The sequence below is a fragment of the Homo sapiens genome, chromosome 2 (genome assembly GCF_000001405.40).
Source record: "Homo sapiens chromosome 2, GRCh38.p14 Primary Assembly".
NCBI lineage: Eukaryota > Metazoa > Chordata > Mammalia > Primates > Hominidae > Homo > Homo sapiens.
In genome coordinates, this window is record NC_000002.12 from 151,637,163 (window position 1) to 151,664,658 (window position 27,496).

Consider the following 27,496-nt stretch of genomic DNA (forward strand, 5'->3'; position numbering starts at 1 on the left):
TGCTGAAAAGTCAAACCACACTAATAATGAAGAGCTCCAGGAAGGAGTCATTTATTCTGAACTGAGAATCAGGGAAGTTCTTGAAGATGGGGTGACCTTTGAGTTAGACTTTGAGCAGAGTTTCAGTAGACTAAGGTGGCATCAAGTGCAGAGGAAATCACGTGAATCAAGGCACCACTGTGGAGGGGAAGCGGAGGGGTGTTGAAGGAAGTGGGTGAGGCCCCAGGGAGGAGTTCACAGGAGAGGGCTGAGAATAGCCCAGAGTTGGACTGTGAACGCCTCATTCTAAGAAGTTGGTGTTTAATTCTACAGAAAATAGGAAAGCAGCCAAAAAGTTCTCTTCTTTTTAACATCAGAGGGGAGCGCCCATGGCAGCGTCCCAGTCTGGGTGGGTGGAATAGGGGGTTGCGGGCAAAATGGGGAAGGGCACCTGGGCCTCCTGGGACTGGCAGCCGAGTAGCCGCACTAACACATCTCTGAGCTTTTTCAGCAAAGACAGAGTTGAGAAATCCAGAAATGCTGACTAGCTAGACACAGGGGGAGCCCTTTGTTTCCTGAAATTCTTGCACATGTAATGCATGGTTTCCTGTAACAGGACCTATATTATAGGTTTGGCTAATAATTCAGTCCTTTCTGACAGGGGAGTAAGACTTGATGTTTTTAGTTTTTGGTGACAATTAAAAGCTAGCTATACAAGCACTAAAATTACAGTCTCACTTCCAAAATAATTACTTAAGATGGTGGCAATTCCATCTAAATTCTCTAAATTATGCTCTGTGTGTTGATTTATGCTGCCAAATAAACAATATTTTCCTTGCTGGTGGCACAAAGCCAGGTGAAATAACTAACACATCAGCTGACAGAATCTTAGATTCACAAAAATCTCCACAGGCTTATACCCACAGGCTCAGTCTAAGAAGAAGAAATTACAGAGATAAATGCCAATCTTTGAACAGAGATAAATTACCAAACGCATAAATGCAGGATGGAAGAAACCTAACTTTAGTCCACATAAGATGTCTTAGAGTTTAAGTTGGTCTCAAGTTCTGTGTGCACCAGCAGTGACAGCTGCCAATGTATCCTGGGAGCACAGGATGCAGAATAGAGGTCATATGTCCAGAAGAGGAAATACGATAGTTAAGTGTATTCTACATCAGTCATTCCCCACTCATAGTATTTTGCTCAGTTCTGAGAGTCACATTTTACTAGTGATGTCATGTGAGGAATGCCCCGCAGCTTGGGATATTGGATTTGAAGGTGAACCTGGGGTGAAGGTGGCAGGGGAGGCACCCTGGTGCTGCTCTCCATCTCTGGGGGTTGGCACAGATTTGTTCTGTGCAGCTTCAGAGGACTATGTGAGTTTACAGAGAGAAATGTTGTGACTCAATACATCAGAAGCTTTCTCATAAATTTTCCAGAACGAATGGACTGATTTATGAGATCAGCTCCTTGTCACTGGGAACCCTTAAGCAAAGGCAGGTCAAAAACCTATTTGTGGGGAGGGGTACCTTTGCACTAGGGTGGAGGCTTGACTCTCTGCCTAAGCCTCTATGATTCTGGAATGATGGCACGTGGCCCTGTGCACACTGAAAGTGAAAGGAAATGGGCTTGCTAATATTTACACTGACAGATATTTCTCTCTCTCTGTGTGTGTGTGTGTGTGTGTGTGTGTGTGTGGGTTACCTGGTAGTACTGTGGATTTTAGTTCTTGCCTTTAATCTTATATACTAAAAATCTTAAATTTGGATCCTAAACCACACTTAGGAACAATATATGGAAAATATATTTACTACAGTTATGCTTTAGCATAAAGGGGAGATACATGTATAGGTCAATTGCTAATATCCTAACTTCAAAAAAATAATAAAAGAAAATGGTCTACATAATCTCATGGTTACAGCTTAAATAATTAGTTCATGTCATTTGTATTTCCTAAATGATAATTCATATTGCATAAAGTTTGACATTTATGATGGTGATTGAGAAATGCAAGAGTTGTTATTCACATGAAACATGAAAAAGATTCTTTCTAAAGCTGTCATTTGGTATCATGTCATCATAGAGTAGATCAACTGAAATAAGCAGCAGTGTGCAAATGTCAAAGAATCTGCTCTCACCTCACTGTAGTTGATTTTGTTCATTCTTGCCAACATAATTTCTGGTGTGTCTGGCATTATGTGGATCTGAGTCTTGTCTTTGTCCCAGGCTTCTGTGTATAAACGCTATCAAAAAAAATACACAAATTCATCAGGAAAAAAGTTCTGTGTATAGTTAATAGGAATTTTAGGGCCACAAAAACTTTATAAAAAAAAAGAAAAGGTTATGTGTTTTATACACATTATGTGTTTTATGCACATCTTCGGGTAATAAGTTCATAAAGGAATGTGTATTTATAAATGCCTTCTAATAATCTGAAATGTATGTTAACAAAAGGAAAATGAGAATAAGCATATTTTATGCAGACTATTTTTTGATAAAATATGCTACTTTATCAAAATCATGAAACAATGACTAAATATCAAAATATACATGATATATATCAGTTATTAATAGATAGATGAGAAGCCAATAGATACATAGACAGATAGATAGATGCCTTTTATTACTCAATGTTCTTTCTTTCCTCATTAATGTTTCTTTTTTGTTGATTCAGCTTTAGGAGCCCCACTTCGATTCTTAATTTTGAAGTCTCACCTTGTTCATAGTGATGGCATTATTTTTGGCCAACACTTGTTCCAGAGAGTCAGTCACACTGGTAAATTTGAATCTGTCTGGAGGCTGGCGATAGATTTTATCACTCAAAATTTCAGTTGCCCTTTTGCATTTTTCCACATCCAAAGAGCCAATGGACACCCAGCCAATGCCTCTCATCCACTGGAGATCAGACTTGTACATATTCTGTTGACACAAATAGCCAATAAATATTTATCTCTGTATCAGCAATGCATTTTCATCTGAAGGATAAGAGATCAAGTAAAAGCACTCTCAAAATTTAGTTTGGTGGACGGGCCAGGTATCACACAATATTCCTCTTTGGTCTGAAGGGTTAAAGGATTAAAATTCCTGTCGATAAAGGCAATGCTATTTGCCTCCTCCAGGGGCTGGTGAGCTTGTGCCATATATTGCCATTTTCTCCAAGGGGTGTTAAATAATTTCCCACCTCTGCACGTTATTATGACTCTCAGTACTCACATCGCTCTGGAGGTCATAGGCCTGCCGAGCATGGATGACGTCGCTCTGGTCGGGCAGGCATGTCCACTGGTGCAGGTAGTTCTTGTAGTCCACATCGCTGACTAAGGTCTGGCACTTCTTGGCCAGCACCACCCCCAGCATGTCCACTGGGCTGCTGAACTTGGTCTTCCACTTCTCAAAGTCCTTCTTGTACTCCCTGTCACTCTGGATCTTGGCCACGTGCATGGACCACATCATCTTGGGGTCATCACGTATAGCTCGGGCACCAATGTGGTGGCCGAGCTGCTTACGATAGCCTTCTTTGTACTTGAACTAAAAGAAGAAAAAGACAGATAGTCATCTGTTTTAACTTTTAGTAAAAAGCAATCACTAAGCCTAACTTGCTCTATTTATTAAAAAAAAAATTTTCCCTGAATATGTAAATTATATGATAGATGTAGAAACAATTTAGAAAATAAATATAGCACATATCATCACATATGAAATATATATCTTATATAAAATATATACCATATAGATAGGCATTACTTTAATACATTCTTTAATGTGAAAGTCATTCTGTTAGAATTTAGAATTTGTTTTTAAAATATTTAATTTTTAGATGTATAAATTTCAGGAGATTATGCTGCAATGACAATGACAATAAAAATGAAATTCTCCTGCATGGGTTTTATATGCTCAATGATCCAAAATTTCATTGAGTATCTACTATGTGTCAGGCACAATTCTAGATAAGTACCGCAGATTCAATAAAAATTATCTTTGCCTGCAAAGAATGTCTGTATATTTATACACACAGAAAAAAAAGAAAAATTAAGATGTAATTCTGCCACTAAAATAATTTGTTATGATTCGTGTGTGAGAATATAATTAGAAGTCATATTGTATATGGGTTTGTGCCTGCTCTTTTCAGTTATTATATAAGCATTTCTATGTGTCATTAAATAGTCTTTGCACACATGACTGTTTTTTTTGTTTTGTTTTGTTTTGTATTTTAGAAAGCATCTCTCTCTGTTGCCCAGGTTGGAGTGCAGTGGTACAATCATGTCTCACTGCAACCTCCAACTCTTGGGCTGAAGTGATCCTCCCACCTCAGCTTCTGAGTAGCTAGCACTACAGGCATGCGCCATCACACCTGGCTAATTTTTAAGTTTTTTGTAGAGATAGTGCCTTGCTATGTTGACCAGGCTGGTCTCAAACTCCTGCCCTTAAGTGATCCTCCCGCCTTGACCTCCCAAAGCACTGGGATTACAGGTGTGAGCCATGGTGCCTGACCTATACACATGATTTTTAATGACAGGTAGGTATTTCATTATATGGTATTTAACCCTTCTGTGATTGTCATTTATTCTTAAATTATGATTACTTCCCATATTTTGGAAATAAAGAAAAAAATCTAGAGTTTTTTTTATTCATAGACAAAAGAAATGGAAAGATAAAAATTTTTAGAAATGTGAGCAAATCCTTTATTTATTATACTTTAAGTTCTAGGGTACATGTGCACAACGTGCAGGTTTGTTACATATGTATATATGTGCCATGTTGGTGTGCTGCACCCATTAACTGATCATTTACGTTAGGTATATCTCCTAATGCTATCCCTCCTCCCTCCCCCCATCCTATGACAGGCCCCAGTGTGTGATGTTCCCCACCCTGTGTCCATGTGTTCTCATTGTTCAATTCCCACCTATGAGTGAGAACATGCAGTGTTTGATTTTCTGTCCTTGTGACAGTGAGCAAATCCATCTTTTAAAGAAAGCAAATATTTGTAACCCACCACCTGATATAGAAACAAACATGTTCCACAGGAATCGTTGAACTTTGAGTAATGTGTCCTATAATTCAGCCCTTGTAGATTCATTGGTTCATACAGCATAGGTTGGGTTTTGAAGGAACCCTACAATAAGCTCAATTGTATATGAGAGATACATCATTGGAAAAGCCAAAAAAATTATCTGAACTATAGTCAAGTATCTAATACTTTTGTTCAGCAGGAAACGGACATGTTTTGAAATGCATGTTGCTATGGACTCAACAATAACTTGAATTTGGCCTTTCTGTTGATAACTCTATTACCATTATTTTAAACCATTCATCGAAACAATAAACTGTTAGCAACAGCTTTAACCTCATGGCTTACTTGTGCCACTATAAATCCAGGAGAGAGAAATAAATCTTTGAGCCAAAGCTAAGGCAAATAACTTTCCAAGTATACTTACTTCACTTGCAATATCTCTGGAGGCCTTGGCTGCCTTGATAGGAATGGCATCTACCCGCATGTCATAACCTTTCCTCTTGGCTTCTTCTAGGCCAAGCTTATACAATTTCTAAAATAGACATTAATAGTAAGTTGGATTTATAAAGTGCATTGTAAGGAAAATGTATCACGCACTATGAATATATTACTTACCTCACTGTAATTTACTTTGTTTTGTTTAGCTAATAAAACTTCAGGGGTATCTGGCATAATGTGGACAGTGGTTTTATCTTTATCCCAAGCTTCTGTATAGAGGCGCTAAGAGAAACAGAAAAACATGACTGGTATAGGCCAGTAATAAATAGACACATGCAGACAGTCTGATTTTTAATGAGAATCAAGAATTTCAGCTCAGTGAATCGGTATTTGTGACATTTTCAGGTCTAAATGTCTTGTGTCAATAAGAAGCACAATACTTTAAAACCACATTAGTACCAAGCAAAGGAATCAAAAACAAGTTTTCTTTTATACAAACAGACTTCAGTGTTTCCATAAACAAAAAAAATTAATAACCTCCTCAAACAAACATAGGACTTACATGATTCATGGTAATAGCATTGTTTTTTGCCAAAACCATTGGTATGGAATCCATAAGGCTGGAAAACTTAAATTGATCTGGGTGCTGACGGTAAACATGGTCACTCAAAATCTGGGTGGCTCGTTTATTTTTCTCATCCTCGAGAGAACCACTAGTCATCCAGCCAATGCCTTTTAGCCACTGAAGGTCTGACTTGTACAAATTCTGAAAGTGCAAGTGACAAATTTGTCATAATTAAATCATTTATCACAATTTGTCATAATTTGTCATAATTAAATCATTTGCCCCTAAATAAAAGTTCATATTATACTCTATATTTTTAATACTTGAATTATTAGAAAATTCTAAATTTTTGGTATGAATTATAAATCAACAAAATATTCAGATTAAAAGCATATTTTGAAAAACATTTTAAACAGAAGCACATAGGAAAGGACTCAATCCTTTGATTGTCTAGCTCGACAATCTAGAGGCTTCCACCAAAGCAATGGGGCTTTGCTGGCTCTTTCTTTGTGGAATAATGGTGCCTCCAGATGTCTGGGTGACTAGATGCGCTTGGGCATTAGTCCAGGGTAATTGTGTAAACTCAACTCTGCTCACTATGGGACTCTGATACTTTAAAAAGCAGACATAATGTTTTGTTGGCCAAAGGAAAATCTTAGACTCACATCGCTCTGGAGGTCATAGGCCTGCCGAGCATGGATGACATCGCTCTGGTCGGGCAGGCATGTCCACTGGTGCAGGTAGTTCTTGTAGTCCACGTCGCTGACTAAGGTCTGGCACTTCTTGGCCAACACCACCCCCAGCATGTCCACTGGGCTGCTGAACTTGGTCTTCCACTTCTCAAAGTCCTTCTTGTACTCCCTGTCACTCTGGATCTTGGCCACATGCATGGACCACATCATCTTGGGGTCATCTTCAATGTTCCGGGCACCAATGTGGTGGCCGAGCTGCTTGCGAAAGCCTTCCTTGTACTTGTACTAGAGAAAAAAAATGTGTCTCATTCCTTTCAAAATTTACTTCTGTTGCCATCTTTGTGGCAAATTACAAAGCGCATTAACTCTAAATATTTTACTAAGCCTAGAGAGCCAAAGACTTCAGTCTTTTGATAAGAAAGATTAAAGGCTAAATTCAGCTATGAAATTCCATACATAATAAATGCATCCTTGATCTTATCCTCATCCCACACTGCATGGGATCATTTTATTCCACTGTAATTTGTTACCCCTTAGATTTTGTTCAATTTAAAATTAAATTGAGACTGCTTTGAAGTGATAAATTGCAATCAAATCAATATCAACAGAGGATAAAATCTTACTTCACTGGCAATTTCCCGGGAGGCTTTTGCTGCTTTGATTGGTATGGCATCAACAGGAAGATCGTAACCTTTTCTCTTCAGCTCCTCATAACCCATTCGGTAGAGTTTCTGTTAAGAAATGAAGATCATTTTGGGAAATACTGTTCCCCATAGACAAATATAGCATAATGATCAAATGTGCTAAATATTTTGAGTCCATGAGAATAGCATCTGTGCCCTAAAATACTCAAATGTAATTAGAAATTATGCCCATTGATTGCTAATGATCCTGTTTTAAACTTTAAAGCTCTTCAATTACCTAAATCAGCAAAATTGTCAGCTCTTCCCAAATACAGTCATGCATTGGTTAATGACAAAGATACATTCCGAGAAATGTATTGTTAGGTGATTTTGTCCTTGTGGGAACATCACAGAGTGTACTTATGCAATCCTAGATGGTACGGCCTAGTACACACCTAGGCTATATGGTATAGCCTATTCCTCCTAGGCTACAAACCTGTAGAGCATGTTAGTGTAGGCCACTGTAACACAATGGGAAGTATTAATATTTGTCTATCTAAATATAGCTAAACATGGAAAAGATACCGCAAAAATACAGTATGATTATGTTACGGGACCACCGTCCTGTATGTGTGCCTTTGTTGGCCAAACTGTTGTTATACAGTGCATGTCTATACTTGCAAGAATCAGGCAGAAGTAAAACAATAGAGAAATGAAATGGATTATTATTGAGGTGCTGTTTTTCAATTCACATGGACTGTTTCATTAGAAGTTTTTGTTAGAAAAGAGCATCTAATTCTTCTAATGGGGAAAAATCATGCCTAAGGGGTTATCTCTTCTATGTAGCTGATGCATTGTGAAATAGTCTGTCTCCCAAAATGGGACCATCCAAAATAGGATCCACATCTATAGGTAAGATACTGAGTCCACCATAATTTCTAAAACTTATGTTTTGAAGAAGGTTTAAATAATGAATTTTAAAAGCTTAAGTGAAAGAATTTGTTTTTTCAGATCTGTAACATAATTTAAAAATTGAGAATATGATTTAAATGTACTTTTATCCAGAAACCAGATTATTTAAAGTGCCTATTGATCTTGGACTTGTGTTTATCTGTCAGTCCTTCGTGGAACTACTTTAATACATTCTTTAATGTTAAAGTCATTCTATTAGAATTTAGAATTTGTTTTTAAAATATTTAATTTTCAGATGTATACATTTCAGGAGATTATGCTGCAATGATAATGACAATAAAAATGAGATTCTCCTGCGTGGGTTTTGTATGCTCACTGATCCAAAATTTCATTGAGTGTCTACTATGTGTCAGGCACGATTCTAGATAAGCACTGTAGATTCAATAAGAATTGCCTCTGCCTGCAAAGAGTGCCTGTCCACACTGGGAAGAGCAATATAAGCCACCTTATGATGATATGTATAACAACGGACTGCAAGGAACAGAGAATACAGACTCCCCATTCTGCCTGACATAGTGAGTACTAACATTTCGATATTCAATCTAAAAGCCACTAAATAAGGAATCTAAGTCATATGTAGTTAATTAATTAAAATAATTCAGGGATTCAGAGAACTTCTAGACAATTTCACTGATTTAGAAACAATTAAAATGAGCTTTCTGAAAACACATGCTGAATTTGAAAACTTACATCACTTGTGTTGATTAAGTTTGCTTTAGCCAGAACAATGTCAGGTGTATCAGGCATGATGTGGATCTGAGTCTTGTCTTTGTCCCAAGCTTCTCTATAAAGTCTCTAAAATAAGAAATAATAATTTTTCAGTGGTGTTGTTAGATTAGTGAATGATACAGTTGGCTTCAAACAGAATTGCTGAATTTATCTGAATTAAACATTATACAGAATTGATATAATAAGCAGACAACATAAGCAGAAAATAGATGCAATATTTCTTGACTTATCTGGGACATAACTGCCTTTCAACACAGAGATTATGGGTCACATTTTCAAAGTTACAGATAATCCTGCCTACAAGAAATCAATCTAGGTAATTACATGCCTTGCCAATATTATCAAATGAAACAGGCTTCTCCATCTTCTGGGTTGTGTCCCTCAGTGTTTAATTTAGAGGCAGCCCTTGCCTTTTCAAAAGATGTCTTATTCAAAGCATGCCTAGAAATCAGGAAGTTTTATTTCCTATGTGGCTTATTGTTATCACTATCATTATTTTGACACAGAGTCTTACACTGCTGCCCAGGCTGGAGTGCAATGGCGCAATCATGGCTCACTGCAACCTCTGCCTCCTGAGTTCAAGTGATTCTGGTGCCTCAGCCACCTGAGTAGCTAGGATTACAGGCATGTGCCACCATACCCGGCTAATTTTTGTATTTTTAGTAGAAACAGGGTTTCGCTACGTTGTGCAGGCTGGCCTTGAACTCCCCACCTCAGCCTCCCAAAGTGCTGGGATTACAGGTGTGAGCCACTGTGTCCAGCTTCTATGTGACTTAGTATTTATAGTTATGCCTCATAATCATTGTGAAGGATTAGGATTCCCAAAAGGATTTTTTGGGGGGGAATTTATCAAGATATCTTGGATGTCCCAGAGCCATCCTTATGTCTCTTCAACAGAAGACAAGGGGATCCAAACAAAAGTTTCACAGACTTACTAAAACTAATAATTTTTTTTTTTTGAGATGGAGTTTCACTCTTGTTGCCCATGCTGGAGTGCAATGGTGCAGTCTTAGCTCACTGTAATCTCCACCTCCCAGGTTCAAGCAATTCTCCTGCCTCAGCTTCCCAAGTAGCTGGGATTACAGGCACCCACCACATGCCCAGCTAATTTTTGTATTTTTAGTAGAGATGGGGTTTCACCATGTTGGCCAGGCTGGTCTCGAACTCCTGATCGCAGGTGATCCACCTGCCTCGGCCTCCCAAAGTGCTGGGATTACAGGTGTGAGCCATCGTGCCCGGCTAAAACTAGGAAAATTTGATTAAAAACAGAATATTTACACAGGGCAGAATATCTCCCTGCCAGATTACTTATCAATTACAAAGGATAAAATGGTTACTCAACAGTACAGCAACCTGGCACCATCACTTTAACCAAGTGTTTAAGTTATTAGTAATAGAACAAATTGATATCCTGTGCCTCCTGATATGAGGTACTGAGGAGGACACAATGTGTGATCTCCTGCTGAAAAGATAATCTGAGTCTATCACAGGAACCCACCAGAAAACCCAAATGGAGGGAGATTCTACAAAATAACTGACCTATGTTCTTTACGAATGTCAAAAACTTGGAAGGCAAAGAAACAGTGAGGAACTAGTCCAGAGTAAAGGAGACTAAAGACATAGCAAGTAATGCAACCTGTGGTCTTGGATTAAATCCTGAGCCAGAGAAAATATTTTCTTTTCTTATAAAGGATATTAGTGATAAAATTGAATAAATTCTGTAGACTAGCAGACCAGTGGAAATTAATTCTGTGATTTTAATCATCACAATGTGATTATGTGAGTATGTTCTTATTCTTGGGAAATACAGACGGAATATTTAGGCATCATGAAGCAATTTAATTTCTCATATAGATATATAGATATAGATCTGAGAGAAAGAAAGGGAGAAAAAGAGACAAAAAGAGAAAGCAAATGTGGTAAAATTTTAACATTTGGGGAATCTGGGTATATGTATGCACACACACATACACACATATGTGAATTACATGTACTATTTTTTCAACTTTTCTGAGTGCCTGAAATTATTTCAATAAAAAATTTTTTTGTCTCATTGATTCCTTAAACTTGTCCATTTCCCTTTGAGGTATGCAGCATGAGATGTGTGTGTCTGGCACTTTTCTTTTTCCTGCACATGTTTGTTATGGTGCATATAACCCAGAGAAGCCAATTAAGACCCTCAGCACCCAAACAAAGCAAGGCTTGTTAATTTCCATATGTGTGTATCCCAGTTCTGCACTACCCTTTTGGATTTAGTAACACCAGAGTTTCTCTTTAAAAAATTTTTTTATTTCCATATATTCATGGGGGCACAAGAGCAATTGCATTGTGGTGAAGTCAGGGCCTTCAGTGCATCCATCACTGGAGCAACACACATTGTACCCACCAAGCAAACAGCAGAGTTTCTCTACCTGCTAACCACTGATATTGTGTATGGATGATTCTTTGTTGTGGGGGCTGCCCCGTGCATTGTGGGGTGCTTAGCAGCATCCCTGGCTTCTACCCACTAGATGCCAGTAGCATGCCACTCCCCAGTTGTAAAAACCAAAAATATTTCTAGATGTTGCTAAATGTTCCTGTGGGACAAAATTGCTTCTGGTTGAAAGTCACTAAGTTAGATTATTTCTTCAATGGCATGTGCCACTTTCACCCCATGGAATGCAGAGAAAATGCTATTATTATTTACACTGGGATAGGTGTATCAGTTGATTCAGAAGGAGAGACTGCAAGCTCAAGGACCCCAGCTGGCCCGGGTTTTGTGTGGCAGTCCTGAGGCCTGAGAGCTCCATGTTTCAGCATTCCCCAAACTAGAGCACACTGCTGGGGAGTCCTGTCCCAGAACGTGTATATCGATAAACTTAATGATCTAGGGGTTCTCATTTGGTCACCTTATTAAGTTCAGATCTTTTTATCTCCTGTTTCATGGAAAGAAAAGAAACTTGGATTCCAACAAGGGGGAAACATTTTGTACAAATTTGTTGTTTTCTCATTTTGTTGGATTCTGTCATCATAAAAATAGTAAAAGAATAAGTAAATGCTTAAACATTCATAATGAAGCTGACAGGTCAGCATTTACTATACATTCTGGAAATCAGCATTATAAAAAGTCTGTGAGGGGTTAGTTAGGAAAAGAGGAACTACAGTTTATCAATGCTCATTCTAAGCTGATTATGGGCTTATATATTATATAAAACTTCTGATATATGATATATGTAAAGTGTATAGCATATTACATATAGTATATATATTCAGATCCTCCTAAGACCTACAGTACATATATTTAGATCCTCCTAATAACAGACGGTTATTATATATCTGTTTAAATCTTCTTACCAATTACAGATTTCAGGGCACATACTTCAGTATTCTGTAATGTTCAAAGTTAGGCTTTTAGCTGAGCAGTGTTGAGTAATCTTTCCCTTCTTTGCATATAATTACTCCACCCTGCTATATTTTATGTATTTTTTCAATGAATATTTATTGAGTACCTATTATGTGCTAGATACTGGTGTCAGAGCTGGTGAAGAAAATAAGTTGAAGATGGAATAGATACTTATTTACAGTGACAGAATTATCCATTTATCCTGATTCAGCTAAACTAAAAGCATTATAATCATTTGTCAGGAAATACACTCTTTATAACACATCCATTGTGCCTGTGTAAGGTACTCAGAATCTTTCCCCCTCATATACTCTACCCCAACAAAAAACATCTGGGTGTTTCATGCAGTCAAGTTTCAAAGAAAAACAGTTTGTTCGATCATTTTCCCATTATATTTTGGTTAAATAATAAATAAGCTTTGGGTGACAAAAACTGACACTGACCCATTTTTACATGATTCAGTGTAGGATAGTTGCTAATTCAAATAAAATGATCCAATATAAAATTTTATGTGGTGATGTATGAGGCAATGCTTTGTGGTTCTACTCATTTATTAAGCAAGTGCTATTGAGCAAACACTAGGTAGCAGGCACTATAATCTATTTATTTCCAGAGTGCTACTCACATCACTCCTATTTTTGGCATTTGTCTTTGCCAGAACTATATCCATGGCATCAGGAATGCTGGTGAACTTGTTTCTGTCTGGAGGCTGACGATATTTCTTCTCACTGATGATTTCCGAAGCCCGCTTGTTCTTTTCTGCCTCTAAAGAACCCAAGGGACTCCATCCTATGCCTCTCAGCCACTCAAGGTCAGATTTATATAGATTCTGTGAAAAGACAGAGCAAGCCATCAAAATCCCATTCTCACCTGGACCCTTGATTCAAGTGATTCTATGCATTACAAACAGATGCATTTTAGATTTTCAATAATAATTCCTAATTTCTGCTTCTCTTTGACTAAATAGCTACTCATATAAAATATGAATTAATATATAAACTATTGGATTTAATAGAAACTGACCTCACTTTGCAGTTCATAAACTTTCTTAGCTTGCACAACATCGTTCTGATCAGGCAGACATGTCCACTGATGCAGGTAGTTCTTGTAGTCCACGTCACTAACCAACTCCTGACACTTCTTGGCCAGTACCACTCCCAACATGTCCACTGGGCTGGAGAACTTAGTTTTCCACTTCTCAAAGTCCTTCTTGTATTCTCTTTCACTCTGCATTTTGGCTACATTCATGGACAACACAAGTTTTGGGTCATCTTGCAGACTCCGGAATCCAACATGGTGGCCAAGTTGCTTTCGGTAGCCTTGTTTGTATTTATACTGAAATCAGAGAAAACACAGCTCTTTTAGTACACAAAGGCCAAGTTAAGCTCAACTTGCTTTTTTTTCTTTTCTTTCTTTCTTTTTTTTGAGACAGGGGTCTATGTTTCCCAGGCTGGTCTTGAACTCCCAGGCCTACTTTTCTAGCTTCAGCCTCCCTAGTAGCTGGGATTTACAGGTACATGCCACCTCATCCAGCTTCAGTTTGCCTTGTTTTCATGTTTGTTTTCCAAAACTGAAATGAGAGAAGTGTTGTCTATGCTAACTTAGTATGGAATGTTTACTTACTTAAACTAAGCCTTGTTTACATGGAAGCTTCTGAAGAAATCTAATGTAATTGAGTATCAAGAGAGGTTATGATAAGAAATTAATTCTAACTAGATGCAGAAATATATGTTTGGTTGTGCTAGATATTGTGTATTCTGACTTTGGGGTTGTATTTAATACAGCTCTTGTGATATTCTTATGGAAATGATAATCCTTACGGGCTAAATGGCAGAAAAATCAGGAAGATACATGACTAAGTAAATACGCCTAATAATGCAGACTAATCCATTAAATAGCAGGATCTTTTTGTGGTTTGCCATGTGGTTACGTCATATAACCTTGTCCTGTTTGGGATCTATATCTTGCATGTGCAGATGGCTAAAAATAACTAAATATGTTAGATTAGGAAGAAAATTCCACAGGAGCTCAACATACTGCCAAATGGGTCAAAATGATTACATAAATTTAAGACAGTAAAAGTAAAATTTGGTATTTAGATTCAATTAAGAAAAATCACATTAGTACTAGATGACAATAACAACAGTGATAATAATGAGTATACTAACAGCATTTACTTGATGTTAGGTGCTGAACACATGTTATACGTTACATGATACCCAGCTTCATTATTACATATATAAAATATTCAGGAGTTTAAGTGGACTTTAACTTCAACATAAGCAATCTGACAAAATTGCTTTTTAAAAAGCAGTGCCATAGATTTTGTATGGGGCACAAATAAGCTTTCTGACCTGACCTTCCGTATCAAGAAAACAACACTAAATTTTGAGGGATTCTATTTTGACAAGAGTTTTGAAAAAATAGCACAAATTACAAATAGAATGATCAGAAGATTGAAGAATTTATAAAACTGAAAACAAAGGAGGGCAAATATGAAAATGTTTGAAGACCTATCAAGTGGAAGTGGAAATAGGCTGCTTTGTGGTGTTGTAGAACAGAGATCTAGAGCTTATTGGTAAAATATTTAGGCAAAAATAAGAAGGTATATAATGGCAATTAGAAATGATCTAACAAAGAAATGACCTGCCCTGAAGGACTCCAAAATTCCTTTAAAGAATTTTTTTATTTTTGAGATACCGTCTGGCTCTGTTGCCCAGGCTGGAGTGCAGTGGTGCGATCATGGCTCACTAAAGCCTCAGCCTTCCAAGCTCAAGTGATCCTCCCACCTCAGCCTCCCAAGTAGCTGAGACTCCAGGCACACACCACCATGCCCAGCTAATTTTTTATTTTTTGTAAAGAAAGAGTCTCACTACGTTGCCCAGGCTGGTCTTGAACTCCTGGCTTCAAATCATCTTCCTGCCTTGGCCTCCCAAAGTGCTGAGATTATGGGACGGGGCCACTGCACCCAGCCTCCAAAATTCTTATATTTTTAAGTATCTACAGAATTTTGGAGATGGAGAGAAGGTAGGATGCTGAGTGGGAGATTAGATTAAATGTCCTTTATGTTATCTTCCGACTCTAAATTCTATGATTCTAATTCATTAAATACTTATAAAATTGTTTTAATTTTCTGAAAATTTATAAATACAAGGACATTTGAAATTGAGGGAAATACATCTCTATAATAGTGGGAAAGTTCACTTATAGTTCATTTGAGAGTAAGATTTCAAAAGGTTCGAATTAATGGGTTCACACAAAAAGAAATGAGGTACTATCAAATGTTGTTAGGAAATTATTGATGTTATTTCTTCAATTCCTAAACTATCTTTAGCACATAGCACTAAATGGAAATGAGTTTACACATCATTATTGCTTTAGGCTTATCACCTCATTGATTTATTTTAATAAGGGATTGACCTGCAAGCTGGAGAGTGGGTAATAATATATCATCATATTAATTTTCCAACATTTCTGGAGTGCCAGAAATTAAGTGAATTAAATAAAATCTTCCCCTATATTCTTAGAATTTATTGTCAGATTCCATTTTTAGGCATTCCTTTCCTGCACTCTGTACTTCAACCTGCCTATTAACCAAATCCCTGTTTTCTTTCAAAGATTTTGATTAAGAGGTCCTACTTCCCTATGAAATCCTGGTAATTTATTCACTATAACCAAGACCTTCTGAATTTTTGTGGTTAAGTTTTGGGATTAACAAAATGATATGCTAGCAATATGCAGAATATCTAAGTAAAATACTTGTAAAAAATTAACCAATAGAGACAATACCTAAATAGAGACAATACCTAGTTTTTCACCAGATTTGCTACCGTTTCTAATCATAACTGGAATCTACCTTTGGGAGAGTGAATCTATGAACTTTAGATTGGATTTTCAGAAAGAAGAGTTAAGTAAGCCCTTGGGAACTTAAACCTAAATTTCTGGACCTTCTTGGATTTTTTATGTCCCAAGGTAATTTATTACAATTATATAAGTGCAAAATGGGCTAAACTGAAATAACTGACAGCCTATTTTAAAATATGTGCATATAAAATCTATCAGCATCAGTTTGTTGAGGTTGATTTATCATCTGGCACTTTGAATTTGTCTAAAATAGACAAGTAGAAAGCAGTAAAATTATTATATTTTCAGGCAAAGTAGGGAAAACTTGCAATCTCGGGTCCTTTGTAACATCTCCAAGTAGAGCATCTTACTCTAATGGATCTTAGAGGTCGTCTGGCCCGACCTCTATTCAGGAAGCCCTTTTGACATATGAACAGTGAAAGAGAAGAGTGAACTCCGGATAAATGAAGAGGGTAGGAGAAAATGAAGGAAGCATTATATTTTGAAAGGTAAAGACTATCCATAAAAATAGTTACCGACATTAAGTCACCTGATTCAGATAAAAATATAGCCTTATAGAACTCAAACTAGTACTCACATCACTAGCAATGTCTCTTGAAGCTTTAGCTAGCTGTACAGAAATTGCATCAACTGGGAGATCATAGCCTTTCTTCAAAGCTTCTTCCCATCCAAGTTTATAGAGTTTCTGAAAATTAAAGATATTCTTCAGCATTATTCTGTCTATATAAAGAATATCAATAGATTATTAGGGAAAAGTTTACCTACAGAGTGAATATCAGATCGAACATCATCTACCCTATCTTTAAAGATATGGATAAAAATAAAACAAGCTGTTTAAAGGAGGGGAAAAAGCACTGACTCAGCATCATATGACCTGGCTTTAATCTTTTTTGGCTGTGAGAATCCTGGTGGTATATTTTATCATAGCTTCTGCTGTTCAGAAACAATATGGTCATATCAGGCATATCACGTATCTTTCTCACTGCTGTTTAATACCGCCTGGGCTTACTATTTTGAAGATAGATATTAAGATAATTGCTAATAAAAAGAAAAACAGGTCACAACATTTTAATTAGCTAAGTGATAAAAGCAATAAATGATGAAATGCCTTTTATAAATTGCAATAATTTAGTTGCAATCTTTCTGAGTTGACTTTACTGATTGAATGGATGTATGTGTGTTAAAACTGGGTAATAACAAAAATAGCTCATAGTTATCCAGTACTTTCCATGGGCCAGGTACTGTATTGAGAATCTTATACAGAATTTCCCATTTAGTCCTCATGGCAATCCAATGTCATAGGCACTTTTATGGTCCCAATTTTAGGGATGAGGAAAGTGAGACTTAGATAGGTAATTGAGTTACCCAGTACTATACATCTCAAAAATGGCAAAGCCAAAACTCATACCAAGTCTGTTTGATGCAATTTTTACTTTATTTATGTATTTATTTATTAGAGACAGGGTCTCCCAATGTTGCCCAAACTGGATTCAAACTTCAGAGCTCAAGGGATCCTCCTGCCTCAGCTTCCTGAGTAGCTGGGACTACAGGTGCATGTCATCACACCTGGCTGTTTGATGCAATTTTTTTTCAACAATTTTCTATTGATTTCCTGCTTGGTATCAAGCACAATGAACACAGAGATAAACAGACACAGAACCTGCTCCACAAAGCATACAGTTGTGGCTGAAGCCTTTGCTCTTAAGCACTCTATTTTGCAACATCCTGGGCTAATCAGTGTGTCATTTCCAAACTTCCATTGCTTCAACATTTATATCAGTATTTACTGTTACATTATTTTATAAGTTCATAAGTTTCAATACAAAACTTAAAATTAATTTTTATATAAATTTACCTGACTATACAGTGTTTGATTCTGCTTGGCTTGTAAAATATCTGGTGTATCAGGCATCACATGAATCTTGGTCTTATCTTTATTCCAATCAATGGTGTATAAATGCTAGGAAGTGGGAAAAAAAGACATGAAATTTGAATAACTGGGACAAGCAGGAAAGAAAAATATGTATTTATATATTAGTACTTGAATGCACTCAATTTGATGTAGTAAGTAATAACTAAGTAGCATATAATTCAGAAAAGACCCTAAAAACAAACTCAGATTTAAAAAAAAAATCTTTTAAGTATTTTCTATTTTCTACAATGGACTGAAAGTATTGAAGATATAATAATTAAAAACATAAATAATTTCTAACCCAACTAGAAGGTCAAGAGAAGAAAAAAAATAAGAGATGGGCAGAAGAAGATGGTGTAGGGGAATGATCTGGAATGGTTTGCCACAGCCTAGGAATGATGGACCTTAATTAGATTTCTCCAAACAAGAACCAGAGCCTGCTAGCCTTTCCTCACGTGGGAGCTGTGTGGACGGCCACTGTTCTCTGTACCTTGTTCATGGTATGTGCATTCTGCTTGGCAAGCACCATGTCCATGGAATCAGTCAGCTTCTTAAACTGGAAGTTGCTCGGGTGCTGGCGGTATTTCTGATCACTGGCATATTCAGTTGCTTTCTTGGCCTTCTCCACTTCCAGAGAACCTGCTGGACTCCAGCCAAGCCCTTTGTACCATTCATTGTAATCTTGCTTATATTCATTCTATAAAGAAGATAAGCAAATTCTACTTTATCTTATCCATTTAGACACAAACCATGGCATGTAAACAGACTGTGATCTCCCTTCCCATGCTAGGATTCCAACCATCACCCAAGTAGAAGAAAGCCTTACATCACTCTGTATGCGATTCATATTCCTGGTCAGCTCAATGTTCATTGCATCTGGAAGGAGGATGTACTTGTGAATCAGGTGCTTGTAGTTAGTGTTGGTGATGTTGGCTTGGGCATCCTTTGCAGCCGTGACACTGAGCATGTCGGCAGGGGTGTGGTAGCTGGTCTTTGTGTTCTCATAGTTTTTCTTGTACTCCCGATCAGATTGCATCTTAGCCACTTGCATGGAATGGACTAATTTGGGATCATCCTCGAGACTGCGGAAACCAACCATTTTCCCCTTCCCTTTTTCATAATTGTACTTGTATTTATACTGTGAAGAAAATATGAGTTTTTACACAGAGCAATTCCTTTGACTAAAAATCGATCTAGTGTCAATATGCTATATTATTTTTGTATAATTATAAAATATAATTAAAAATTATATTTGTATAGAGCTCTATAGTTCACAGACTAATTTTTCATATTTATTGATGTAACTGAATACAACTCTCCCTTGTGAGGTAGATAGAAAAGTTCTTATTACTCTCCTCATTTTATAGATGAATAAGCTGAGACCCAGAGAGCTGAGCAACCTGCTGAGGCCACTGAGGATTAGAACCCAGATTTTGTGATGATGCATCACACTGACTTATGCATGTACTTTGCTGTTAGTGCTAAAGAGGCCTTTAGTAGGTAAAAAGAACACAGAAGATGAAAAAAAAAAGGCAAAAAAACAGAACATTTCTCTTAATGCTGCCCTGAGAAATTATTCTGTCAGTCATTTACTGATGAGAAAAGTTTCAATTATGAGACACACAGTGTAATTTTAGAATAGCTTTATATTCGTGGAGCTCCTTTTCCTTTAAGACTCTCTAAACTGCTATAATGGGGAAGAAATTGTACTATTTATCATCCCAACTTTCTTCTACAGAGGGGAGATCTTGATCCATGGAGAGCTTCTTTTTCTGCCTGTCTCCTTTTGGGGTTGCGTGTGCAAGTTGGGGGTAGAAGCTAGTAGAGCCAAATTACTCCAGCGTAATAGAGGGGAGAAGAATTTGGAGTTCTCAGGATAATAAGAGAGAATGGGATGGGCTGGATAGGTAGGGAAGATGAAGAATAGAGATGGGAGAGAAAGTAAAACTGATGGGTGACCAAGGAGAGATTGTTTTGAAATATGCTCCTCCCAGGACCTCCAAGTCATTAAATGTTCCCTGTGAGTGGATTTCTTGTGGAAACAACCAAATGAAAGAATTGAGTTTCATATAGGTGGCATGTCATGACAGTGATGTGTTGGTACACCTGCTTTTTTGCCGGCCAGCGCAGGGAAAGCCTCACTTTGTAGTGTTTGCCAATTTCTGTGGTGTAAATATGCCCGTCACAGCTGATATCAAGCCACCGATAGTTTAACAACTGGTTTGCAAAAATTCCTGATTATTTACTCATCAACTATCATGAGCCCAAATGATCAGCACCCTTGCATACATGAGACATCCTGTTAGAAAATCAGATCCGAAGAAGCAGGAGGCAAGAACAACACAAGACTTTCACCAAGAAAGCTTAGTGAAGGGCTTTGAATTTCTATAAGCCATAGCCTTGGTGACAGATTCAAAGTAAGTTTATCTAGATCTCATGAGTCAGGGAGCTGACATCTATGAGGGTCACCATGTGGTTAGCTTGGTGTTTTTTCAGAAATATCAGAGAAAACACAAAAGCAAGGTTAAGAAGCATTCACAGAGAGTGAGACCCACTGTTTTTCATATTGTGTCCACTCAGTGTTTCCAGAACTCAGCCCTTATTATTTCGGTTCCTTAGAAACCCCCAGCCAGGTGACCGTTTCCTTTGGACTTACATCACTTGCAATATCTCTGGAAGCCTTGGCAGCTTTGATAGGAATTGCATCAGGTCTGAGATCATAGCCTTTCTTTTTAGACTCTTCCAAGGAAAGTTTGTAGAGTTTCTGTAAAGAGAGGCAAAGGGAAGAGTTTTCTTCTAAATATGAAAGCCTGGATTTATTTTAGAAGAGTAAACTACCACTGTGGCGTCTTTTTTTTTGTTTTTGAGCAGAATGCTTCGTTGGTGCTTCAGTGGCTGAATGTTCTTACAAGTAACATAACTGTGTTTGAAAAACAATCTATAACAAACTTAAACATATTTTCAAGAAAATACCAGAAAAAGTAAAAGTTACTGGTCTCTATTAGGTTGTAAATATACTTTAAAAAATGTGAAAGTCCCAGAGATTCTTATTGATGCAAATAAGAGTTAAAGGAAGACTACAAAACAGCCTTATTCTTACATCAAAAGAAAACATCTCTGTTTTAGAATCAGCACTTTTATTTGTATAATAATGTGGAATCTACAATTAAAAAAAAAGGTCAGCTATTCCAAATCTCTGTGGAATTCAAACAAAGAAATGATAAAAATAGGATTAGAGGATTTCCTAGCAACTATGATTAGGATGAAAAAGGAAATGAAATAAAATATCAATACATTTGCACATTCTTTGTTTTGGGGTTTTGCCCCAGATTCTTCAAAATGTTCTTCTTCCCTTTCCATTTAACCCCTTCTTTAGAACCATCTCAAAGGCTTGATGGAAGGGCTGTCTAAGAACGAAATTCTAGGACTCTCATTTCCTTTTTCTCTTCTCCTGGCCCCGGAGCCTGTTTCTTTCTACCAAATCTCTCAATTTAATAAGGAGTGCCCCCCTAGAACAAAATCCAATCACACCGTTCAAATTCTTAACTGCTTGGCCCAACCCCATCCACAGTCCTACTCCAACTCCGCAAAGCAAAATTAGAAAGAGTCTCATGTGTGGATTTCCACCATTATTTTTAAAACATTCACTCTCATAACTGAGAGAGATATTAATTAATTTGTTCTTACTGGTTCAAATCTGCTGGAGAGAAAGATGACAACAGGGGGAACTATACTTACATCACTCATATTAATTGCATTTGCCTTTGCCAAAATAATCTGGGGGATATCAGGCATGATGTGGACTTTGGTTTTGTCAGCCTCCCATGCTTGTTTGTAGAGATGCTAGGAAAAAAACAGTGTAAATTAGTGTTTAAAATCTTAAAAGAAGCTCACTTAGTACATACATATCATTGTACATATATATCAATATTTCATGTATTTTTATTAGCTAGGTTTAAATTAATTAATTTATTTATTTATTATTTTTGAGACAGAGTCTTGCGCTGTCACCCAGGCTGGAGTGCAGTAGTGCAATTATGGCTCACTGCAACCTCCACCTCCCAGGCTCAAACAATCCATCCTCCCACCTCAGCCTCCTGAGTAGCTGGGACTACAGGCATGCACTACCATGCCTGGCTAATTTTTGTATTTTTTGTAGAGATGGGTTTTTGCCATGTTGCCCAGGCTGGTTTCAAACTCCTGAGCTCAAGCAATCCACCTGCCTTCACCTTCCAAAGTGCTAGTATTACAGGCATGAGCCACTGCACCTGGCCCAAAAAAATTTTAATGGAAAAGTTGCTTATTCAAACAATACAGCAGGGAGGATGTAAGATGGAAAGTAAAAATGTTTTTTCCCCTTATCTTACAGCATGAAGGTAGCATTTGCCTCCTAAAATTTTCTGTGTAAATTAAAACAGACATATAGTCCTTTTTAAATATACATGAAGTCATGTTCTACATCTTGATTTTTAACTTAATAATATAGGTTAGACATATTTGAACCTTCTTAAAATAATTTACTTCATTCATTTTTAGAGCTACGTAGTATTTCATTAGGAGGTATAATCTAATTAATTTAATCAGTTCTCTGGTGATGAATATTTAACTTATGGCCTCTAGCCTTTTTCTGCTACAAGCAATGTCATGATCCTTGTGGTGGACATGGAGATGTGCCACCAATATACTCATTCAAGGAAGGACCTGATTCCCCAACTTTTGGCAAATAGTCTCCAGTCACCAGCTGTCTCACTCAAGAGTATGCCCTTCCCAGATAACCACATTCAACAACTCATCGAAGTGGGGGTACAAAGATCTAGCCATTTCAGTTCAGTGCAGGTCTCTACTGACAGAGACACTTGAGAGCCCTCTGTGGGACTGGCCAAGACTTTGTCATGCCAGCATCACTGTTCAACTTCTCCTCCGGCCTAGTCCTTCTTCCCAAAGACTAGGATCCCTAAAAAATACTCTGTACTCCAATTTTCATCTTAGCGTCTCCTTTCAGAAACCCTAAACTGCAAAACATATTCTTGTGTGTATGTATGTATGTATGTATATCTTTGCACACATATATAAGGATTTCTATAGGGTAATGATACCTGAGTTTTAAATTTTAACGAACATTAACAAATGGCCCATTAAAAGTTTGCTTTAACAGAAACTCCCTTACAGATATTGCATGTAACACAGCTATTTAATATTTGCAAATGCAATAGATGATAAATGCTATCTCTTTGTTTTAGCCCATCTTAATTAAAATAAGAATAACCTTTTTCTGGACTAGAGATTGGCAAACTTTTTCTGTATAGACAGAAATTCCTTAAATTTCAGGCTTTGTGGGCTAAACAATTGCTGTCATTAGCTACTCAACTCTGCTGTTGTAGTCCAAAAGCAGCCAGAGACCACACGCCAACAAACAGCTGTGGTTGTGTCACTATAAAACTTTATTTACAAAAACAGTCATTTTTCTGAACTCTGTTTTAGACCAGCACTATACAATAGAACTTTCTGTAATGATGGAAATGTTCTGCATAATCCAATATGGTAGAACCTAGCCACATAGGCCGATTGAGTACTTGAAATGTAGCTAATGTGAATGAGAAACTGAATTATTAATATGATTTATGTAAATATAAATCAACACATGTGGCTAGTAGTAATAGTATTGGACAGTGAAATGCTAGTGGAAAGAGTGGTGACTAGTTATCAGAATCCCTGTTCTAGTCCAGACCCTGCTGTTGACCCGCTGTGTGGGAGGTGCTTTGCTTCTCTGGGCTGTTCTTTTCTCAACTCTGCAATGGGAGGATTCAACTTGATGGTCATCAAGATGTCTCTTGGTGCCAGTACGTGCTAGTTCTATGATTCTCCTCTTGGCATCATTATCCTGAAATGTTAATCACTAACACTGAAAAAAATAGATATCCTCATGTAGTTTAGATTTAAATCTTAAAAGAGGCACAGAAATTTGTGCCTTGTCTTTGAGGCAGGTCCCTTTCAAGGAGGTTGAGCTCCACAAATCATTCAATTCTCTGAAGACTCCAGGGGGTTTGCTCCGTGGCTTAGCATAATACAGTTCTATCTTTCTAGCACAACTATGGCCATTATTTTCTGCAACTGTTTCACGTTTAGATCCAAATCATCTTTTTCTCTGTTATCAAAGGCATTTCTCATTTTGATCCACCAGTGCTGCTGCAGTTATTTTATTACTTTTAACTTCAAAAACAGATGTTCAAGGTTGATTGTACTTGTTGGTCTTGATCTCTTATTGCAAATCAATGTAAAAATAGAGTAAGTCTTTTCTAAAAGCTGGAATAATTCATGAACCAAGGAAACACTGATGTAGAACAACTGCCCTCAAGATTACCCAGAGAACGTCCTGGTTTGAAATGCTGCTACAGGCATGTAATCTTGGACTTTTCTTTGATCCCATCAAAGCAGAAAGCAAGCTGGGGTTTGGGAGGTGGTTTCCAACACCAGCTACCATCAGGAAATCTGCTGATTCAGTGTCATGAATGTCTATTCAACCTCACCTTAGACAAACAGGACTCATTTTCAAGAGGTGCAGTAAAAGAAAAAGTCCCTATTTATTTGGTTATGTCAATGAGATAGGATGGTTCATTGAAGATTTGAAGACTACTAGTTAGAAATAATTCCTATTCTTTTTTTTTTTAACGACAAGACTCTTTTTCTAGGTAAAATAACCTCAAGTGTGATGCCCTATAACTGTATTAGCAAAACCTGTGGATTAAATGTAAATTATACCTGGATTCTCTCTGATGCATATGAAACACTGCATTATTGAAAGACTTACTTCGTTCATAATTTTTGCATTATTCTGGGCCAAAACCATGTTCATCGAGTCCATGAGTGTGGAATACTTCAAAGTGTCTGGGTGCTGGCGGTACTTCTTTTCACTAATAATCTCCATGGCTTTCTTGTTTTTCTCTGCTTCCAGGGAGCCCAGAGGGAGCCATCCAATGCCCTTCATGAAGTCAGCATAGTCAGCCTTGTACTGATTCTGCAAAAGAGGAAAAATTAAATTATGAGAAGAAACTGGAACTTCCCAAGAATCCTAAGTGTGTGTTTAACATTCTGTAACTTCCATTTCATTTGTAAATTTTCTGTAACTTTTCCACTTCAATATTTGCTTGAATATTGGTATTTAACCAATAGCATGTTGAACTTCAACCATTTCTTCCCTAAACTTTTATCCTTTTTATATTTCCTTGCATGATAAATTAAAAATAAGCAGAAATGTCTTTGTGACTTGTTTTTCTCAATGCCTTCATAAAGAAAAAGTACTAAGAAATACCACATAGATTCATCTCCCAGGTGACTGTTATCTCCTTGAGAAAAGCAACTATGCTGACCTTTCTTATAAAAATTCCCAAGTCCCCTTGGTTAACAGATGACTATGGAAACCCCATTTTTCTCTTTCACTGTCTTTGATCAACCACCACCATTACAATTCCCTCAGGTATGCCAGAAACCTTCCTGGTACTTTGTGTAAATTTCATTTTTTCCTCCTCAGCTTTGACATTTCTCTCTACACCTGTGCCATGGCTGCTTTCATTCAGGCACTTACTACCTCCCTGACAATTAATAGCTCAGCCCTCACATTCCCAAAGAGAAATGTAGCCTTGCTTTCGTCTGCTTTGGGTTTGTAACTTAATTCACCTCTCCAACCATCAAATGGACTCTTTAGCTAAATTCTTGGCTCTATTCTTTCTCTGTCTTCCTTATATTTAGTCTAAAGGCTGCCTCAGTCATCACCTTCTCAAAATTTCATTAGTAAGGCAGGCAATTGCAAAGTTAGAAGTGGTAGAATGAAACCCGGTTGGGAGGGAGGGGCTGGAGCTATCAGGTTATCTGATTTCTTACTTTCCCTTTTATTCCTCTATTAAAAGCCTATTATGCTTTTGACCATCTTTGCTAGACATATTCCTTTCAATACACTCTTTCTGAAATGAAGTTCCATTTGCTGTTGTGGAATTCAGAATCCAACAATGCTCCCAGCAACAATAGTAGAAAACAAGACTTTAGTTTCTAGAATTGATCTCCTTTTGTTAAAGGACATGAATTCAATCTAAGGTAACAAATGAAACACTATGTTGGGAAATTGCAGATGAATTTCTTTCAGGATTTTCAAAACGTCATTGCTTATGGTCACTCATGGTTGCTTATTATCCAGAGTAAACGCTCTGCAAATGTGGTTTTCACGTACATCACTTTGAATCTGCATCATATTTTTGGCCAATTCAAAGCTCATGGCATCAGGAAGCATGTTGTAGGTATGGATCACGTTCCTGTAGTTGGCATTGGTGGCCACTTCCTGAGACTTCTTGGCTGCCACCACACTGAGCATGTCCACCGGGGTGTGGAAGGAGGTCTTGGATTTCTCATATCCCTTCTTGTATTCCCGGTCTGACTGCATCTTGGCCACTTGCATGAAGTGCACCAGCTTGGGGTCATCTTCCAGGCTCCGGAAGCCAATGTGTTTCCCTTTGGCTTGTTCATAGGCTTTCTTGTATTTGTACTGTGGACAGAGAAGAAATTATGGTGATGAAAATGGTAAAAGAGAACAAAGTACCATTTGCTAGGTGATGTGAGCTTTGTCTTAGATGAAGGGTTTTAGAGCTACTCTAAAATTGGAAGGGAGGCACTCGTGAGAGGGAGGGAGCAAACTCTTTTTACTTCATTTTTTTTTTTCCCGAGACTTGAGTCCATGGAAAGAAAATAATCTCAGAGTTAATCGAAGAGATGTGTAAATAAATTGGTTTAGAGAGATTTAGAAAGCAGATTTCCCCACTCAGTTGTCTAAGTGACAGAAAAGGCTGCAGGCAGGATTTCTCATGGTGCATCTTTAAAGAGAGGGCCTGGCCATGGGCCTCCTGGTAAAACACGTAGATTGCATCTTTACATTTGCTTAGGATTGTAAGTGATTTGAATAGACTCTAAAGGCTACTTATTTTAACAAGACTCAGTCACTACTTACATTAAATAATGAACAGATGATTAGAGGGTACTTGGATGGGGTGAAGGGAGGTGTCTTGTGTCACATGGGATGGCATTCCCACCAACCCTGAATGGAGCTGACCACTGCTCCTACATACACACAAGCTTAGCGCATTTGTTCTTACTTGCTCAACCCCAAAAAGGCCCAGTGCAAGCACTTACATCACTGGCAATGTCTCTAGAGGCTCTTGCAGCCTTTATTGCAATGGCATCAGGCCTCAGGTCATATCCTTTCTTCTTTTCCTCTTCCCAGCCAGCTTTGTACAGTTTCTAAACAATAAAATAGAAAAACAACAGCATCTTGTTATTGGGGTTAGAAT

The 27,496-nt window shown here is 37.5% G+C and overlaps 1 protein-coding gene across 47 annotated transcripts in view, besides 1 other annotated feature; it reads right to left on the reverse strand.

The window, feature by feature from the left end:
* The window catches only part of NEB (nebulin), a 249,138-nt gene that overhangs the window by 151,824 nt on the left and 69,818 nt on the right, over nt 1-27,496 (reverse strand). For 42 of the 47 annotated variants that reach the window (XM_005246617.3, XM_047444485.1, XM_047444484.1 and 39 more), the window contains exons 44-63: nt 27,339-27,446; nt 26,386-26,697; nt 24,973-25,179; nt 21,903-22,007; nt 20,821-20,928; nt 18,991-19,302; nt 18,655-18,861; nt 18,108-18,212; nt 16,830-16,937; nt 13,412-13,723; nt 13,014-13,217; nt 8,968-9,072; nt 7,306-7,413; nt 6,656-6,967; nt 5,988-6,191; nt 5,603-5,707; nt 5,412-5,519; nt 3,193-3,504; nt 2,695-2,898; nt 2,118-2,222 (exon numbers count right to left, since the gene is read on the reverse strand). In XM_005246617.3, coding sequence (XP_005246674.1) covers nt 2,118-2,222; nt 2,695-2,898; nt 3,193-3,504; nt 5,412-5,519; nt 5,603-5,707; nt 5,988-6,191; nt 6,656-6,967; nt 7,306-7,413; nt 8,968-9,072; nt 13,014-13,217; nt 13,412-13,723; nt 16,830-16,937; nt 18,108-18,212; nt 18,655-18,861; nt 18,991-19,302; nt 20,821-20,928; nt 21,903-22,007; nt 24,973-25,179; nt 26,386-26,697; nt 27,339-27,446 — 3,651 coding nt within the window. The remainder of the gene's footprint in view (nt 1-2,117; nt 2,223-2,694; nt 2,899-3,192; nt 3,505-5,411; nt 5,520-5,602; nt 5,708-5,987; nt 6,192-6,655; nt 6,968-7,305; nt 7,414-8,967; nt 9,073-13,013; nt 13,218-13,411; nt 13,724-16,829; nt 16,938-18,107; nt 18,213-18,654; nt 18,862-18,990; nt 19,303-20,820; nt 20,929-21,902; nt 22,008-24,972; nt 25,180-26,385; nt 26,698-27,338; nt 27,447-27,496) is intronic. The other 5 variants (NM_004543.5, XM_005246613.3, XM_005246612.3 and 2 more) reach the window with 5 other exon arrangements.
* Nucleotides 14,153-14,447: an enhancer, noted in NCBI's record as "tiled region #15124; K562 Activating DNase unmatched - State 8:EnhW". NCBI's record gives its function as "activates a minimal TATA promoter and a strong SV40 promoter by Sharpr-MPRA in K562 cells {active_cell/tissue: K562}" and the evidence as "EXISTENCE:reporter gene assay evidence [ECO:0000049][PMID:27701403]".